Here is an 18,002-nt window from a genome sequence, read left to right as displayed (position 1 = left end):
CCGATCCCCACTGCCCAGTGGGTGACGTCACACTTGGAGAAGCCTGCTCTGTAATCAGACCCTCTCGTGGGGCCGGCTGGAGACATTTCAGAATTCTCTCTTGCTGCTTCAAAGCCTTGGGGCTCCCCTCACCCCTTCCTTAATTAGAAAATAACAGAGGGAGGCAGTTACACAATTTCAACAGCATAATCCTTTTCTGCTTGTGGCTTTGCTCTCACTCCTTGGAGAATCCATTGTTAGCTTCCAAACACCCTAAAGCAATGAACAGTTCCCTAACTTCCAGTAAAATCCTGCCCCAGGAAAAGTCTACCTTGTGAGTGCCTGACAGACAGGGGTGGTGGAGGAGCTGTGAACCATGATGCTTCTTCCGGCTGCCTCTGCTTTCCGAACTAGCCCCACATCCTACCATCAGCCACTCTGCAAGTCAGATTGTTCTCTAGATACAAGGCCCCCAATCCCAACTCTGAGCCTTTGCACATACTGCTTCCATTCCCAGAATGAGCTTCCACCCTTAGTGAACTCAAGGACTCCTACACATCCACCAAAACCCAGCCTCAATATCCCCTTTCCAAGAAGCCTTCCCTGACTGCCCCAGCAGATTCTGGCATCCTTCTCTGGGCTTCCACAGCTCAATGTGTATAGCCCAAATTGTCCTCCAGCCCAGCAATGTGGCAAGATCATCTGTACAACCCCTGTATCAGGCCACATCTTAGGGGTTCCTGGAACATCATGGGCACCACCAGCTCCTACTCCCCTCTGGCCATGCACAGCATTTGGAGTTTTGGGGTTGAGACCTGAATTTGGCACTGATTCCCTGCCCAACTCTAGGCAAGCCAGTCCACTTCTTGGGCCCCTGAATTTTTTACCAGTAAAATGAGGGACATGAATCTGCCTCACAGGATTGTGATGGGGGTTGAGAGAAACTCTGAGTGTGGAAGTAAGGAAGAAGGGGCACCTTCACCTCTTTAATAATGAATCAAATAAGAGGCTAGTTATTCCTGCTATCTCTCCCTTTCTTCCTGTTCTCTTCCCATCTCCTCTGATCCTTTCCACTCCCTGCATCAAACAAATGGGTTCTGTGGGAAAATTTCACCAGTCCACCAAGAGAAGCACCGGTTTGAAATCCCCGAAGCCACATGGCTGTGAGGGTTGAGCCTCCCTCTGGGTGAGGCTCTGCTGGAGTTAGCAACAGAGTCCCTGCACCATTTCACCACTCTGTTAAGACCCAATCGATCTCTCCAGCAAAACCTCCTGCAACAGCAAAACTGTGGCAAACAGATTATAGGAGGATTAATCACCCCTGCCCCCGCACTCCCGCAGCATTTTGTACCTACCTCCTCTAAGTACCGTTAATCAAACGATGTACAGAGGGCCTCCTCCACCCCCAGGGTGACTTTGCTTTGTGCTGTAAGACACCACTCAGGCGTTACCTCTGGGGGAACCTCTGCCAGGCCCCCTCTCCTGGGCACCTGCTCAGGGCCAGCCAAGCTCCTCTGCAACCCCCATTGTCACACTGTCTCATTGGCCTTGTCTGTTAAGGTCTCTGTACTCCTGGGGGCGTAGGTGTCCAGGTATCAGGGTGCTGTGCTTGGAGACCGGTTTCACAGCTTCTCCAGGGCCACTTAGACCTACTCCAGAGACTTGTATTGGAAAATTCAAGTCCAGGAACACTGCGTTTCTTGAACCCCAGAGGCATTTACAGAAGAACTGAGCCTTCTGTGGAGAATATGAGATACTTCATTGACCCTCTCTGAGCCTCAGTTTCCTCATCTGCTCAGTCAGGGCCATGACTCTCTACCTCACAGGGTCCATATGAGCTGTTGTATGTAAGGCCCAAACATAGAGCCTGGCCCCTCTGAAAGCTCAAAAAATCCGAGGGAATCTTGTTGCTATTATCAAAACAAATGCACATCCAAGCTTTGCATGGGACAAAACAGGAGTCCCAGTGGGGGAAGAGAGAAAGCTATTCTATTCTGATGGATGAAATACAGTAGCATTCAACTATTACCATCATTTTAAGGGGGTGAGGGAGGGATAAAGAGCTAAAGATGTAGTTGCCCTTGGGGGGGAATTTCCACAGCTCAGCCCCTCACTAACACTTGAGTTGGATTCCCCTCCAGTGGAAGGTTATCAGCAGGGAGCCCGTGGCAGCGTTCACCCCATGTGACCAATGAGGAATCTGAAGACCAGAAAGGGCCTGCCCTGAAAGGGAATGGAACCCTGACGCAGGCCACAGCGCAGAAGGACCTTGAAAACACGGCGCTAAGTGAGAAAAGCCGGACGCAAAGCACTACATCCCCTATGAGTCCATTCAAAGGAAATGTCCAGAACAGGCAAATCTGTAGAGACAAAGCAGACAGAGACTGCTCAGGGCTAGAGGGAATGGGGGGATAGGGGATGATTGCTGAAGGGTATGGGGTTTCTTTTTTGAGGTGATGAAAATGTTCCAAAATGGACAGTGGTGACAGTTACACAACTCTGGGAATACACTAAGAAGTGTTGAGTTCTACACTTCAAATAGTTGCATTGTGTGGAACGTGGATTGTATCTCAATAAAGTCTTTTTAAAAAGAAAGATAGGCCGGGCGCAGTGGCTCACACCTGTAATCCCAGCACTCTGGGAGGCTGAGGTGGGCAGATCAGCTGAGGTCAGGAGTTTGAGACCAGCCTGGCCAATATGGTAAAACCCATCTCTACTAAAAATATAAAAATTAGCTGGGCGTGGTGGTGTGTGCCTATAATCCCAGCTACCCAGGAGGCTGAGGCAGGAGAATCACTTGAATCGAGGAGGCAGAGGTTGCAGTGAGCTGAGATCGAGCCACTGCACTTCAGCCTGGGCGACAGAGTGAGACTCTGCCTCAAACAAACAAACAAACAAACAAATAAATAAATAAATAAATAAATAAATAAATAGAGAAAAAAGAAAAGGAAGGGCATTCGCTCAAGTTCAAACAGGCAAAACGTCTCATAGGCAGGACTCAGCCCCAATCCGCCTATCCTCATTCATGCCCCCGGTGCCTGTCCTCCAGCTCCAGTCCTATTTCTTCAGCCCCCAGACTTCACAAACAACTCTCAGGTCTGAGCACTTGGAGAACCTCTATCCCGAGAACACAGCCTACCTCCCCATAGCTCTCACCCCACCGGGCCCTGTTTCCAAAAGTGTGAGTCAGTGATCCGTTTTCTGATCACATCCACAGTCCGAGGCTGTGAGTTTCCAATGGATGGTACATTCTAGAAGCTCCCCCCCCCTCGCCCAACTCTGTGAGCACCAGCTTATCTGATCTGGCGCAGACGACTATAAATAAACAGTTAGAGACTGCCCTGTCTGATGAGCCATTTTCTGAGATCATATGAACTTGCTTTTAAGTAGCAGCTTTTCACAGATCGGTTGCTATGAGGCACTTTATTAAAAACCACCCATTTGCAGCTAAAATCCAGCTCCAACCAAATCCAATTTTCGTATCTACTGCTTTTTTAGACATAATGATCAGGACATCGTTTCTGTTTCTATGGGGAAGAATGGATTCAAAGGGCTGTTTTTCTGTGTGTTTTCTCTTTCCTAACAAGCAAGTAGACCACGCATGTTTAAGGCGGCTGTGTGCCATGGCCCTGGAGACCTTCAATAGAGACCAAATATTTATGCTTTGTTAGCGCATACAGACTTCTCCGGTAATGTTGATTAGTGCTAGAGGCTTATCCAACCAAGGTCAGGGGCTTGTGCCCCCCTAAACCGGGCCCATTAGCTTCTCTTAGAAGTAAAGCTTCTGCTTCATTGCCGCCTGGCTGCAGCCCACACACCAGCCCCTCTCCCGCTAACAAATATTACTGATCATGCTGGAGATTGAATGGAAGACAATGATGGGCGGATGGTGCTGTGTACTGGGGCCAAAACAAAGAACATGCCCTTTTCATAATGGGTCCTCCCCAAGACCTTTGTATCATTCAGCCTTTTTAGAAGCCCAGAGACAACATGCATGGTGGTGAGAGGCAGGGACTCAGCATCCCCCAGGGTGGACTCTTGCTGGGCTCAGGCGGCCCCTGGCTGGGTGATGGCGGGTGTGGCTTTCAGAGCCTCCATGGCTTCATCTCCACTAAGGGTGAGAGCAGGCCTGTTTCAGAGGATTGGGGCAGGGGTGAACAAGGGAACAGGCACAGAGCACTCAGCACAGTGTTTGGCACAGAACAGACGCTCAATCCACAGCCGCCACATGGTGACGATAATGATTATTAATACATTTCCAAGGTGGCCTATGTTTATTGAGTGTCTTTTCAGCACTTCGTTTTTCAGTCATCAGTTGGTTGGATAATTTGCAATTCACTTTAAAATTCGTTAAGAGGGTAGATCTCATGTTGAGTGTTCTTATCATAATAAAATGAAAAAGAACTGATTGGAGTTGGAAGCTATTTCTTGGAAGCCTTCTGTTTATCAAATCTTCCCTCTGATCTTTCTCCCCCATCTCCTGGGTTTGAATACAGGCACACTCATTTAATAAATATTTGTAGAGACCTACTGTGCAACAAACCCTGCAGGGAAAGGGGAAATTCAAATGAGCAGGATCCAGACCATGCCCCGGGAGCCCCGGCAGCTACTCAAAGAATCAGACAGAAACCGAATCCCGAGACCAAATATATGTATAGCCAGAATGTACATTGAGCAGGTCCAGAGGAAGGGAAGGGGGGAAGGAAGGAGAGGCCCCTGCAGAAGAGCAAAGGCTTACACCATAGAGAAGAGTTGTCCATGGGGACAAGTGAGGGGATGGATGCATGGCAGGAGAAGCAAGCGACAAGAAGTCTGGGGGTGGAACTGGAGCTCAGATGTGAAACCTGGAGTTAGAGACCAGGGGGCCACTGTGATCTGCAAATGATGGGAGGGGATGCTCAGCCAGGTAGTGTGGGCCACGAGGGAAGAGCTAGGCAGGAGCTTCACGTGTAAGGGAACGAGGAGGAAGTACTAGGGAGGGCAGCATCCCGGCACAGGGATCCTTCCAGAGGGGACCCTAAACTCCATATGCAGAAGGTCAAGGGAGCTCTCCCTGCAGGCCTCATTGCCATATGCCAATTCCATTGCTCACTCTGTGTTTTGTAAGGGTGGCTTGTGCTAGTCCTGATGTTTTCCTGTAGGGAGCCCTTACGGTTCTCTACACCCCTTCCTACCAGACCAGCCCCAGCACCTGGGCCACTTACAACAACCTTCTCCCAGAAAGTGGCCTCTGGACTTCAGTGTTTGGGGGAGGGGGTTGGAGGGATGATAGCTCACTACTTAAAAAAATTAAAAGACACAGCAATTGGGCTGAAATAAAACTCTCACCTCTGCCAACAACATCAAAGTAGAGATTAAAGGCTGATTTTCAGATTTAAAGGCACTGTGCTGATGGCTTTGGGTGGGACCCTGTTTCTGCAGAATTACTGGTAATAGCAATTCTAGAAACAGGTTACAATAACAGCACTTACCAGAGATACACTATGTACTAAGGTCTCTGGATGATAAAGTGGATGGAAATAGCTCATTTCCATTCCCAAATTCACTAACAGAGAGAGCAGTTAGCCAGGGCAGACCATGGGTAATGATGCTCGGTTGTCTGTGAATTAATTTCTGGACAGTACTGCCAGGAGCTAATGCATTTTTCAGTGAAGAGGAGTTTCAAGAAATCTTAATGCTAGTGTGGATTGGTTAATCATTATATTTACATCATCTTGGTGGGGTGAGGGGCCAGCTGGGGTTAATGGACATTTTGGAAGATGTGAGAACGCAGCCTTGGCAGGACAGAGATAGGAAGCCATCCATTCCACCCCGGGGCTGAGAAACTCTGCCTGTCCTCTGGACTGCTGAATTGCTGTGCGGTCATTTCGGAATTAAAGATGGATCTACTTTCTGATTAGCAGAGTTCAGCTTCTTTTGTGAAACTTCTCAAACAGTTTTATTCCCTGGTTACCTTCACATTTATTCTCGAATCTCTATTTCGTGGAGAGGTTGGTGTCAGGGCAGAATTGATCCAGCAGCTTACTGTTAACGTGATTTATCAATAGCAGTGTGAGATCGTATACAAATGTGGCTTAGCATTTTGATGTCTTGGCCATGCTTGATGATAAGGTATGCATTACTATAAAAATAAACTTACTGTGGCTCCTGAATGCCTTTGTTTTCCTTTTGCCTGCACAGCATTCCCGGGAAATGATTAATAAGATGTTTCATTTAAGTACCAAGCAATCCAGAAACCGAGCAGGAACACAGGCACCTGGATGCAGGAAAGCTTGAAATTAACAGGCAGCCATAGAAAGTATAAGATTAATTTCATTTCCTTTTCTTATCTTATGCTCTCTTTTATGTCTTTCCCTATGTAAAGGGGGAGATTAATCCAGGAATGATCTTTTTGTTGGCAATTTTATATTATGTTTGACTACTTAATAGAAATCTGAGCTACAGCGAGGCAGGATGCAGAAAGCGTATCCCGAAGGAGGAGAGGGAGAAGTCATTTTGAGCACAGGAGGCAGATTTCACAGCCAGTGTCAAAGCTGGGAGCAGGAAGAGTAAAGCAAACACCACGAGGCATTCATTCATTCATTCATCTATTCATTCATTCCACAGATATTTTCCCATAACGGCCACAGAGCCAGGCTGGGGAGCCTCCGTCATCCAGCCTGCTCCTTTGGGCTGCACCTGATCAAGTTTTTAGGGTGATTTGGAACCAAAATGAAATTCAGTACAATTCAGAACATATTTATTGAGCAGCAGCCATATGTTCAGCATCATCCCGGCTGCGTGGGGAATATCAAAAGGGGGGAGACATGGTGGCTGTCACCAAGGATCTCGCATCTAATTGGGGAGATAAGATACACACACAATACAAGGCAATTATGGTAAGAGCGTACATTTAAATACCACTCTCCTGTTTACCCACATTTCATATCAGCCTCTCTACATTGTTGGAGCCTCTCAACAACTTGGGGAGGGAGGGGGGCAGATATGATAAGTCTCATTTTGTAACTGAGGGATCCGAGGCTCAGCGGGGTCGGGAGGCTTGCCTCAAATCACCCAGCCATAAACAACAGCCCCGGACGTCAGCCAGGGTCGCAGGCTCCCAGCCTGTGGTGTGTTTCAACTAATCAGTTACACTGATTAAATGCCCGGTGGGGGTGGGTGGGGGGCAGCTGCCGGGGCTGGAGAGCTGGCCCTAGCCAGGCCTCCAGCGGCTCCTTTCTGGGGAAGTACAGGTCATGTCAGCCTTGCTTTGAATCCTGCCCCAGTTTTCCACCAAGGAGCCCGATGGCAGCAATGAAGGAGAGCCCCCTTCTCTTATCACCCTACTCCTGTAAGAATCCTATTCCACCTAGAGGGAAAAGAATAGGCAGTGAGTCCACTCAGGTCATCTTGAAGGCAACCCAGGGAATACGTGGCTGACTCAAGAACCCTGGACGTCACAGATTGGTGCCGATCACATGCAGACCACCATTTTACCATCAGGGCAAGCATCAATTTTAGGGTACCATGTTAACAAGGGCACAGATGATGCCAGAACCCAGCTGTCCCCAAAATCCTGGCACAGGGCAGAGCAAGCTGGGGCACACCGTGGGCACTACAGTTGAGAACCTGAAGGAATGAGCCAGGCCCGCCCTGGCTCTCCAAAGGGTGGCCTTCTCGGGCGCTCAGCCTGATTTTGCTCAATTTCTCCTCCTGCCTCTTGTGCTAAGTTAGAAGGACAGATGACATCATTCCTCCTCAGGCCCATTAACCACATGGATCGATGGCAAGAAATAAAATTTGGATTCTTCAAAAATCTCCACAGCAGATGGCCCCAGGAGACCAATTGCAACGAGATTCCTAATTAAATATAATTAAATAAGCATTAAGAGAGAGACTGATGCTCCCCTCTCCACATTACACCACTCTGTGCCAAAGAGTACAAAATTGAGAACGCCATTGTCCGCAAAAAAGCCACAAAGATCATTCAACTCCAGCCTCTGATGACCGAGCTGGGAAAACTGAGACCGGAGGGGCTACAAATTCAGCCAAGGTCTGCAGGATGTGGGGCTGACGACAAAAAGCTGACTGAGAAACTGACTCATGCACAAGTGCCCATTCTGGGGTCATGTTGTTAGCATCTAAAAGGCCCGGACACTTGCATGCTGGGCGGCCTTGGGCATGATCCTTTAGTCTCTGGGCCTCTTTTTCTTTCTTTCTTTCTTTCTTTTTTTTTTTTTTTAACTGAGTCTCACTCTGTCACCCACGCTGGAGTGCAGTGACGTGATCTTGGCTCACTGCAACCTCCGCCTCCCAGGTTCAAGCAATTCTCCTGACTCAGCCTCCTAAGTAGCATGCCACCACGCCCGCTAATTTTTGCCTTTTTAGTAGAGATGGGGTTTCATCATGTTGTCCAGGCTGGTCTCAAACTCCTGACCTCAGGTGATCCGCCCACTTTGGCCTCCCAGAGTGCTGGGATTACAGGTCTGTGTGTCTTTTCTTCTTCTAAGATCAGTGCCTTAGAAGTATGATGTGAATCACATCCATAATTTTTTATTTCCTAGCCACATTTTCAAAAAGTAAAAACAAATGGGTACACAATCAAAAGAATACAATTTTCGTTATACATTTTATATCACCCAAATCCCAGCATGTAATCAATATAAAAGTTATTGAGTACTTAACACTTTTTTTTTTCACCTCAAGTCTGAAATCTGGTGAATGTTTGACATTTACAACTTGTCTCTGTATGGACTGGCCACATTTCAAACGCAGTAACGAATGGTGACCATATTGGCCAGTGCGGGTCCAGAAGATGGGCCTGAGATAGTCTCTCACAGGTTGTTGTGAGTTGGGTTTTGTTTTTGTTTGTTTGTTTGTTTTTAAATAAACATGATGTGGCTGGGCATGGTAGCTCAGGCCTATAATCCCAGCACTTTGGAAGGCCAAGGTGGGTGGCTTGCTTGAGCCTAGGAGTTCAAGACCAGCCTGGGCAACATGGGGAGACCACATCTCTACAAAACTACAAAAAATACAAAAGAATTTAGCCAGGCGTGGTGGCATGTGCCTGTGGTCCCAGCTACCCGGGAGGCTGAGGTGGGAAGATTGCTTGAGCCCTTTCAAAGGCAGAGGCTGCAGTGAGTGGTGATTGCACCACCGCACTCCAGCCTGGGCAACAGAGTGAGAGTCTGTCTCAAAAAAAATAATAAAATAAAATAAACAATTAAGAAGATAAACATGATGTGAAATGTGCTTAGCAGCATCCTCACGTCTCATTAGCACCCAGTGAATATTAGCTACGATGATTATCAGAAAGCCAGTGTCCACACAGTTCATCCAGAAAGCACGACAGTCCATGGCTCCTATTTACCAAATCTTCTCTTTCAATTCCCTTCCACAGACACAACCCCTAACAGAACAACTGTGGGGGGAGGGATTTCTTTAGTCTCTGGGTAAAGCTATCAAAAACAAATGGCGGCTTCTCGAGCTCGCCCTTAAAGCAATCGGTGGATCCCAAGATTAAAATTCAACTGCAGCCAAATTGTGTTATAAACGGCTTCACTCCACCTGGGGTCTGGACGCCAGGCAGATGTAATCCCCTCTCCTGGGCATACACTGATGGAAACCCCGCCTCACTGCACCAGCCAAAGCCTTTAAATCAGCCGTTATTCCCGGCCTGACATGAGAGTTACAACAGGGTTTTACAGGCCCTCTGCAGGGCTCTCTAAATTTTGTGGCCGTAGCTTCCTATGGCTAGCAATCCAAATAAAAATAGTGCTATTGATCACAAAGGCATCAATAACGTCAGCCCTAAAGCTACCTGTGCACATTTCTAATTGTCCTGTCCTTTTTATGTCTTTAAATATTACCATAAGCTCTGAGAGATTCGCTACCTCTGATTGGGAAGAAGGAAATCACCCCCTCCGCTCAGTCCCAGGCATTGGAAAGCAGTGGGGAGGAAAACTCACGCGCTAGGAATAACTGTGAAGTCCCTTTTTGTAAAAAAGAAAATAAAACACTGGCTCCCATGTTGAGCTTGGCATTATAGTTCGTCAGGAAATGCCGCCCAATTATGCCTAATTTCTCATTGTTTTTCCGACCGGTTTGCGTCCCAGCAATTACGCCTCGTTCGCAGTAAGAGAAAAGTAAAATGCCCAGCTGGTAGACTGATCAGAAAGCCGACAGCCAATAAATTAATCAAGAAATAAGGAATGAATGCTGTGTTTGATGTTTGCAAATCACACATGTGGCTCTCCAGATGCTTGGACTTAATTTTTACCACCACAAAAACCAAGAAAGAGGAAACTGGGAGTGACTCCAGCAGCTAAGCAAACCCTCCCCAGCAAAGCAACTGTTCAGCTACCTCTGGAATCTTCTCACCTTCAGCATACTGCCAAGAAAAAAGAGCACCCCCACCCACCCACAAACCCCCAAGAGCCTTAGGCATGAACCTTTCTGGGGTCCACGCAAGTGTGTGCAATGTGGAAGAAAATTATGGGCTCCAAAATTCAACAAGAAAGCCACAAAATCAAAATTAATAAATGCTTCATTAAACGCCTGCCAACTATAGCAGTGCAGCCTCCTCACTGCTTGCTGGGTGCTGTATTGATGATGTCGTCGTCATAAAAACTGCATTACGTTTGAGAAAACCATTGCAAGAATGCCTAAGGATGCCTATTGGTTGTGGGGCAAATCACAGGTAATTGCAACTTTGATGAATTACCTGCTGCTAGATAATTTAAGAAGCAAAATCATTAAACTCCTTTCAAATATTTTTACTGCAAACAAACTATAGTTAGTGTGGGCGTATTTTAATTCGTTTGATACGATGGGGAACAAGGCTGCCAAATAAAACACCCCCCTGGACCTAACAAGAGGCCAAGGTGTGTGCAGGCTTAGGCCGCTCTTCAGGTGCCCCCCGGGGCTGGGGGCCCGCTCCCTCAAACAGGTAGCTCAGGAAGCCCTAGCCATCTGCAGGGATCCGGTGGCTGTGTTCCAGTAAAGGCCAGCAAAACATGTCCAGTCTCCAAAGGGGACGGACACCATCATCTTTGGCATTCATGTCACGCTTCAAAGGCCAGAGTCCCCCGCTCCCCCTCCTGCAATGAGCCACCCGTTTCTGCCGCTGCTCTCCTGCGTGTCCACGGCTGAGGGTGCGAGCTGGTAATTACATGCTCGCTTAGGCAGGGACGCTTCCAAGCAGCGCTGGAGAGCTGATTAACCACCTGGTTTGTGGGCACAATTCAAAGGGGCACCTGGGAGGCAGGCCACAGTGACTCGTAGCACGGTTGCCAGGCGGATGTGTGCACAAGGGAAAAAAATGCTCCCGTGTCAGGACAGCTCCATGCTCTGCCTTCCCAAGGTCTCACCCACTCAGCCAAAGACCCTGGCACTTTGAAGGTTCCCTGTGGACATGAAGGCACCCTGGAAAGGGCTGTGGGACCAACAGCTCCATGAATTGCCACCAGGGTGATTTTGCGCCCTCTCACCCAGAAGCATTTGGCAATGTCTGAAGACATTTTTGGTTGTTGCAATGGGAGAAGGGGCTGCTCACAGAATCCAGTGGGTGGGAGCAGGAAGGCTACTAAACCTCCCGTGATACACAGGTCAGTCCCCACCACCCCAGTGACTCAGCCCCAAAGATCCGTCCCCACCACCCCAGTGACTCAGCCCCAAAGATCCGTCCCCACCACCCCAGTGACTCAGCCCCAAAGATCCGTCCCCACCACCCCAGTGACTCAGCCCCAAAGATCCGTCCCCACCACCCCAGTGACTCAGCCCCAAAGATCCGTCCCCACCACCCCAGTGACTCAGCCCCAAAGATCTGTCCCCACCACCCCAGTGACTCAGCCCCAAAGATCTGTCCCCACCACCCCAGTGACTCAGCCCCAAATGTCAGTCGCACATCAGTTGAGAAACTCTGACTTAGAGAACCATCCAGACCCAAGCGGCCTGCCTCTTGAAGAGTCTTTCCTGGGGACTGCTTACAACTCAGGAGGGCAGGAGAACTGAAGGTGGGGGCCCTGACAGTACACCCAGGTCTCCAGGCTGGAGGAGAAACTGTGTGGGGTCTCTTGGGTTAGAGAAAACCTCCTTTTTTTTGGCAGCCCTTGGAGCTGGATGTATTTTTGATGGAATCAGACCTCAAATGAGGTTGTGAATCACCAACTTCAAGAAGAAAGAGCTCTCCCGTTATGCCCATAAGTTAAAGACGAGGCACCTTAGTGCTCTCCTCAGGAGCCTCAAACCTCCAGCGATGGGTTCCCTGTCTTTTCTCTCTGTGAGCAACATTCCGTCCTTTCATGTAGATTTCCCTTTTAAGGAGAGTTGGTTCTGTCTGGGGCCAGTTTAGATTATTTTTTCAAATAAAAGAACATCAGAAAAGATTAATCATAGCCCGAAATGGAAAGGGACGAAGCTGCAGCCTGTCGTGACCTTCTCGTTTGCTTCGTGATAGCCTGCCTAGCCTTGGATGGAGGCCGGGGCTGGAGTGGGTGGTGATTTTTTCCAAGTGGCCCTCAGCTCTGAACCTCACTCACTGCAGTGGCTGTGATAACTTCTTGGATTTATGAATAAAGTGGCAACCTTAAAAATATTCGTTTGGAGTTTCACAATGGAAGTAGTGATGATCAACACATTCAGCCACTGTGTGATCAGATATAATTTGGGGGCTGTTGGTGGAATTGCCTTGTGTTGGCAAAGGTATGAGATTAGCACTCTGAAAAAACAATAACTAATTCCCGTGTTCCTAGGAGCAGGGTAGATATTAACTCTATTTTCCAGGAGATGAAACTAACATAGAAAGGTTAGGCAAGCTTTGCCCTGCTCCACAGAGAACTGGCCCTGGAGTGGAAATTAGGACCCCAATGTTGCGGGCACCAAACAAGGGATCAAACCTTCATCCACATGACAAATTACAGCTTGAAAAATCCCTTCATCGGTGCTCAGGCCTGACAGCACCCCATAACCACTGATTCGAATGGAAATAAGGATGGAGAAGAGAGGAGAGGGCTGCAGAGGAGAAGGTGGGAGTGGGGAGGGCCCGGATTCCCAGCAGGCATGAGAGTGTGTGAGCTGCACTGAGAATTTCCCCTGATGCGAACCTCCAGCTTTTTTCTAGTTCCAAACACCCTCCTTGTAAATAGGAGGATCTGAGAAACATCTCTGGAAGCAAAGCCCCATCAGCCAATTCCAGGGCTTACAGCTCGGCTGCAAGATGCAAGGAAGAGCCACGATGGATGATTCTTAATGGTGGGAGAGGAGTTCTGAAAAATGACCCTTTGCTTTCTTTCATAACTTTTCAGGAAACGCTGCACAATTATCCTTCTCTTTCCTTGCTTAAAAGTTGAACTGAGCCATTAACCTCAGCAAACGAACACAGGAACAGAAAACCAAATGCCGGATGTTCTCACTTGTAAGTGGGAGCTGAACAATGAGAACACATGGACACAGGGAGGGGAACAACACACACTGGGGCCTGTGTAGGGGGATAGTGGGGGAAAGCATCATGATAAATAGCTAATGCATGTGGGGTTTAATACCTAGGTGATGGGCTGATGGGGGCAGCAAACCACCATGGCACACGTTTACCCATGTAACAAACCTGCACATCCTGCACATGGATCCCGAAATGTAAAATTAAAAAAAAAATTGAACTGAAATTAATTTTTTAAAAAACGAGCTAGTTGTAAAAGAAAACCATAATGTCCCACCAGTGGGTAATTTCTTCTTGATTAAAGATGGGGGCTGTTGATAAAGCTGATGCCCACTAACTTCATAACAAATGGAGATCCATGTCTCATGCTCTTTTATGACTTGAGCCTCGTCTGGATGGGTTTTCCGTGCAAGGAGGGAACATTTTAGGATGTGATTTTTCTTGTAAGAAAGTGGAACAAAGTAAACAGGAGTGGGATCACTGGGAATTGGGGGATGGGGGTGGGTACCGTGGATGAAGGTGGGTACCATGGTGGATCAGGCTGGCAAACCCCAAAACCTCTGAGGAAGCTTAACAGACAAACAGACATCACGTGGAATGAGGCAGTACAAGTATACAATGACAACTCTGATGAATTCTTGCCAAAAAAGTCAAATATGAACATCATCAAACTTCTAGATCTTACTGAGAGCTAGCTACAGGTTTGCAGGACACACAGGGGACAGAGGAACATATCAGAAGACACCATCCCATCAGCAAAATCAAGATTATGGCAAAGGCTACAGGATGGGTGATATGGTTTCCAATAGAAAAATAAGAAAATAAAAAAGGGAATGGAGATTCACTAAAGATTTCCAAAACCAAATCAACCAAATGCAATGTGTGGATCTTCTTTGGATCTTAATTTAAACAAAGCATTTATGAGGCCATCAATGGAATTGCAACATTGACTGGGTATTATATGATATTTTAAAATGACTGTCCATTTTTGAGGCACAGTAATGGTATTACATTGTAGTGAATGACTTGTGAATGAAATGATAGGATGTGTTCACTTTAAAATAGAGGTGGGGAGAGAATATGGGAATTCAGTGAAACAAGATTGGCATGTTGATAACGGTTTAAGCTGGGAGATGGTTACATGAGAGTTTACTATATGATTCTATTTTTTATAGACTCAAAAATTTCTGCAATGAAATATGGGAATTTGATGAAACAAGATTGGCATGTTGATAACTGTGGAAGCTGGGAGATGGGTATATAAATTTCTGCGGTGAATAATTAAAAGAAGAAAAGGTATCTAGAGATGGCAGGATAAAGAGACCAGCATCTATTTTCCAATGATTGACTGCTATAGACACCAAACTTCTCAAATGTCTGCAAGGGGCAAGTGACAGAAACAGGGATAGAGCAGTCAACAGTTCCAATAGGGCCCTGCCCTTGTGAAATTCAGCCTGGTGGGAGACATAGACGATAATCAAATAGTCACACAAACACATGACTGCACAATGGTGTGTGTTAGAAAGGTGAAATAGACAAAGCACACAATAGCATGGCCTAACTCAGTTTGGGGTTCAGGCAAATTGTCATTAGTCATTGGTGCAACCCTCCAAATATCTCAGTTCTCTCTCCTTCTGAGTACAAGATGCGACTGAACTTCCTGGCCCCTGTGGTCAATGTGGCCTGTGACTAGTTCTGGCGAGAGTGGGAGACACATAAGAGTCATTCCTGGTGAGCCTTAATCCCCTGTGTGAAACCTACCAGAGCCTTTTTTCCCTCTACCACTGCCTATTGACAGTCCAGGTAGTGGCTGGTCCATGGACAAGGTTCTGGAGCAAAGATTCAAAAGTATCATGGTGGCAGATCCCCTAGCCACCCAACAGGGAACATGTGGCAGAAAATATGTTCTGATGGTTTAAAGCCACTGCAAGTTTGAGGTTGTTCATTACTGCAAGTCAACTAAGCTTGTGCTGACTGATACAGAGGGCTTCCCTGAAGACATGATTTTGGAGCTGAGACTTAGAGGGTAGGTAGGAATTAGCCAAGGGTGATTAGAATCATAGGTGATGAAAGGAAAGGACATTTCCAAAAGCAGAACCTCAGTGAACATAAACGATGATAAAAAAATATTCACGCTCACCCCGCCTTGCCATGTGCTCAGCACTCTTCTAAGGACTTCACATTAACTCCTCACAACTCTTGAGGGGGGATTATTATTATTGTCAGCACCATTCGACACTTGAGCGGTGAGACCGGGCAGTGTGGCTCCAGAGTCTGTGCCCTTAGCTCTGAGTCACACTGCCCTGTGTCAGATTCCAGGACAAGGAGAAGGACACTCTAGAGGCTCTAGTATAGCTGAAGGAGAAGCCACAGAATGGGGTGGCCCAAAGACAGGCCAGAGAACTCAAAGGCCTGAGTACCAGAACCTCTCAAAGATGCTGACCTATGAAGACGGGGATGCCAGGAGAGTGACAAGATCAGATTCCTGAACAGATTCTCTTTCATAACTAAATCACATACAAATGACAGAGGAGTCATATCCAGACCTGTAAGGTATTACAAGTCCAGAGAGAATACAAACACACCTATATAAAAATGGGCAAAAGACTTGAACAGGCACACTTCATAAAAAGATGTCCAAATAATCAATAAGCACATGAAAAGAGGCTCAACCTAATTAGCCATCAGATAAATGCAAATTAAAAGCACAGTAAAATACTCTACACACTCAGAGAATGGAAAAACTAAAGAAACAAAAATAAAACAAACAGAAGACCCCCAGACAATGGCACATAATCCAAGGGTATAGAACAGCTAGAATTCTCATACACTGCAGCTGGGAATGTGGACTAGGACCACTGCTTTGGAAAACTGGTGGTATCTATAGAAACTGAACCTATGTATACTCCATAACACAGAAAATCTGCTTCTGTCCAACAGCGGTGTATACGTGGACAGGAATGTTCATACATGTGCTGTTTGTAGTAGCCCCCAAAAAGGAAACAACTCAAATATCCATCAACAGCAAAATAGATAAATAAATTATAGCATATTCATAAATAGAATATTGTACAACAAAAATAACAACAGAGCTATACCCACACACAACTACATGGTTGTGTCTCACTTTAAAAAGTTATGCAAAAGGAGCAAGACGCAACAGAATATAATCTGAGTTACTCCATTGAAAGACAATTCAAATGCAGGTAAAATGAAATAATAATGTGAGATGTCAAAACAGTGGTTCTCTTGCTGGGGGTGAGGGGGACACAGTTTCTGAGATGGGACAAGGAAGCAACTTCTTGATCTGGGTTGAGGTTCCATAGAAGTGTGCTATATGACCATTTTATTTTAAAAATTGTTATAGCTTTAGGGGATACAACTGCAGTCATTACCTCCATATACTGCATGGCAGTGAAGTCTGGGCTTTCAGTGTACCCAAATCATCCGAAGAGTGCACTTTGTACCCCACAGGTAACTTGTCAACACTCAACCCTCTCCCACTGATATGGTTTGGCTGTGTCCCCACCCAAATCTCATCTTGAATTGTAGCCCACATAATCCGCATGTGTCATGGGAGGAACCCGGTGGGAGGTGATTGAATCATGGTGGTGGATTTTTCCCCTTCTTGTGACAGTGAATAAGTCTCACTCAATCTGAAGGCTCTATAAAGGGCAGTTCCCCTGCACATGCCCTCTTGCCTGCTGCCATGTAAGACCTCCCTTTGCTCCTCCTTTGCCTTCTGCCATGATTGTGAGGCCTCTCCAGCCATGTGGAACTGTAAGCCCATTAAGCCTCTTTTTCTTTATAAATTACTCAGTCTCTGGTACTTCTTTATTAGCAGAGTGAGAACAGACTAATACACCCACCCTCCCACCTGCTGGAGTCTATAGTGTCTATTACCCTCCTCTGTATGCCCATGTGTACCCACTGTTTAGCCCCCACTTATAGGTGAGAACATGCAGTGACTTGACTTTCTGCTTCTGACTCATTTCACTTAGGTAATGGCCTCCCATTCTGTCCGTGACTTTGTGACAATTCTTTGAACCCCTTTTCAGTGTGATATTACAGTTCAATTTGGAAAAGAAATCACTCTGGCTGCCAAGTACAAAAGGATGAGGACAGGGTAGAGTGGGAGCAGGGAGACCATTTTGGAAGCTGTGACAGTTGTCAGGTGAGAGACAATGTTGGCCTGGACCTGAGATGGCAAGGGGGATGCGGAGTGCATGTGTATCCTGACCAGACCAGACAAACCAATCATGACACTCAGGTTTACGCATGCTGAACAACTTTGTCCTTGTTGCTTTCAAGAGGATATCTCATTTTTTACCTAGGTGATCTGGCCTTTAAGTAAAGATTAGCCACCTCCTGGTTTCCCCAATCAGAGAAGAATCATTTCAGATGATTTTAAAATACACAGATAGGGATGCACACCCCTAGTGAGACAAGAACCGCAAAGAAATCTGGAGCTGTTTTTAGGAATAATCATATTGTTAGCAATAATGTTGGTATGTTATTTTTTAAATAGATTGATAGATGGATATGGCCAATAAGCAATTTTTTAAATTATTTTCAGACGAAAAGAGAAAAAAAATGCCAATATAAAATC

At 46.6% G+C, this 18,002-nt stretch overlaps 1 long non-coding RNA gene across 1 annotated transcript in view, besides 2 other annotated features; it reads right to left on the bottom strand.

Annotated features, from left to right (window-relative positions):
- The window catches only part of APCDD1L-DT (APCDD1L divergent transcript), a 104,514-nt gene that overhangs the window by 65,846 nt on the left and 20,666 nt on the right, over positions 1 to 18,002 (bottom strand). The window contains exon 6 of the long non-coding RNA NR_034147.1: positions 6,119 to 6,235. This is a non-coding gene — a long non-coding RNA (APCDD1L divergent transcript). The remainder of the gene's footprint in view (positions 1 to 6,118; positions 6,236 to 18,002) is intronic.
- Positions 7,485 to 7,986: an enhancer, noted in NCBI's record as "H3K4me1 hESC enhancer chr20:57121117-57121618 (GRCh37/hg19 assembly coordinates)". NCBI's record gives its function as "activates a minimal SCP1, AML or CMV promoter by ChIP-STARR-seq in naive H9 embryonic stem cells {active_cell/tissue: H9 hESC(naive)}" and the evidence as "EXISTENCE:reporter gene assay evidence [ECO:0000049][PMID:30033119]".
- Positions 11,265 to 12,464: an enhancer, noted in NCBI's record as "P300/CBP strongly-dependent group 1 enhancer chr20:57116639-57117838 (GRCh37/hg19 assembly coordinates)". NCBI's record gives its function as "activates an origin of replication core promoter dependent on BRD2, BRD4, P300/CBP, MED14 and CDK7 cofactors, with strong dependence on P300/CBP, by STARR-seq in HCT116 cells {active_cell/tissue: HCT116}" and the evidence as "EXISTENCE:reporter gene assay evidence [ECO:0000049][PMID:35650434]".

The sequence above is a fragment of the Homo sapiens genome, chromosome 20 (genome assembly GCF_000001405.40).
Source record: "Homo sapiens chromosome 20, GRCh38.p14 Primary Assembly".
Classification (NCBI taxonomy): Eukaryota; Metazoa; Chordata; class Mammalia; order Primates; family Hominidae; genus Homo; species Homo sapiens.
Note: the sequence above shows the minus strand (reverse complement) of the source record. Positions and strands in the feature narration are given on the sequence as shown.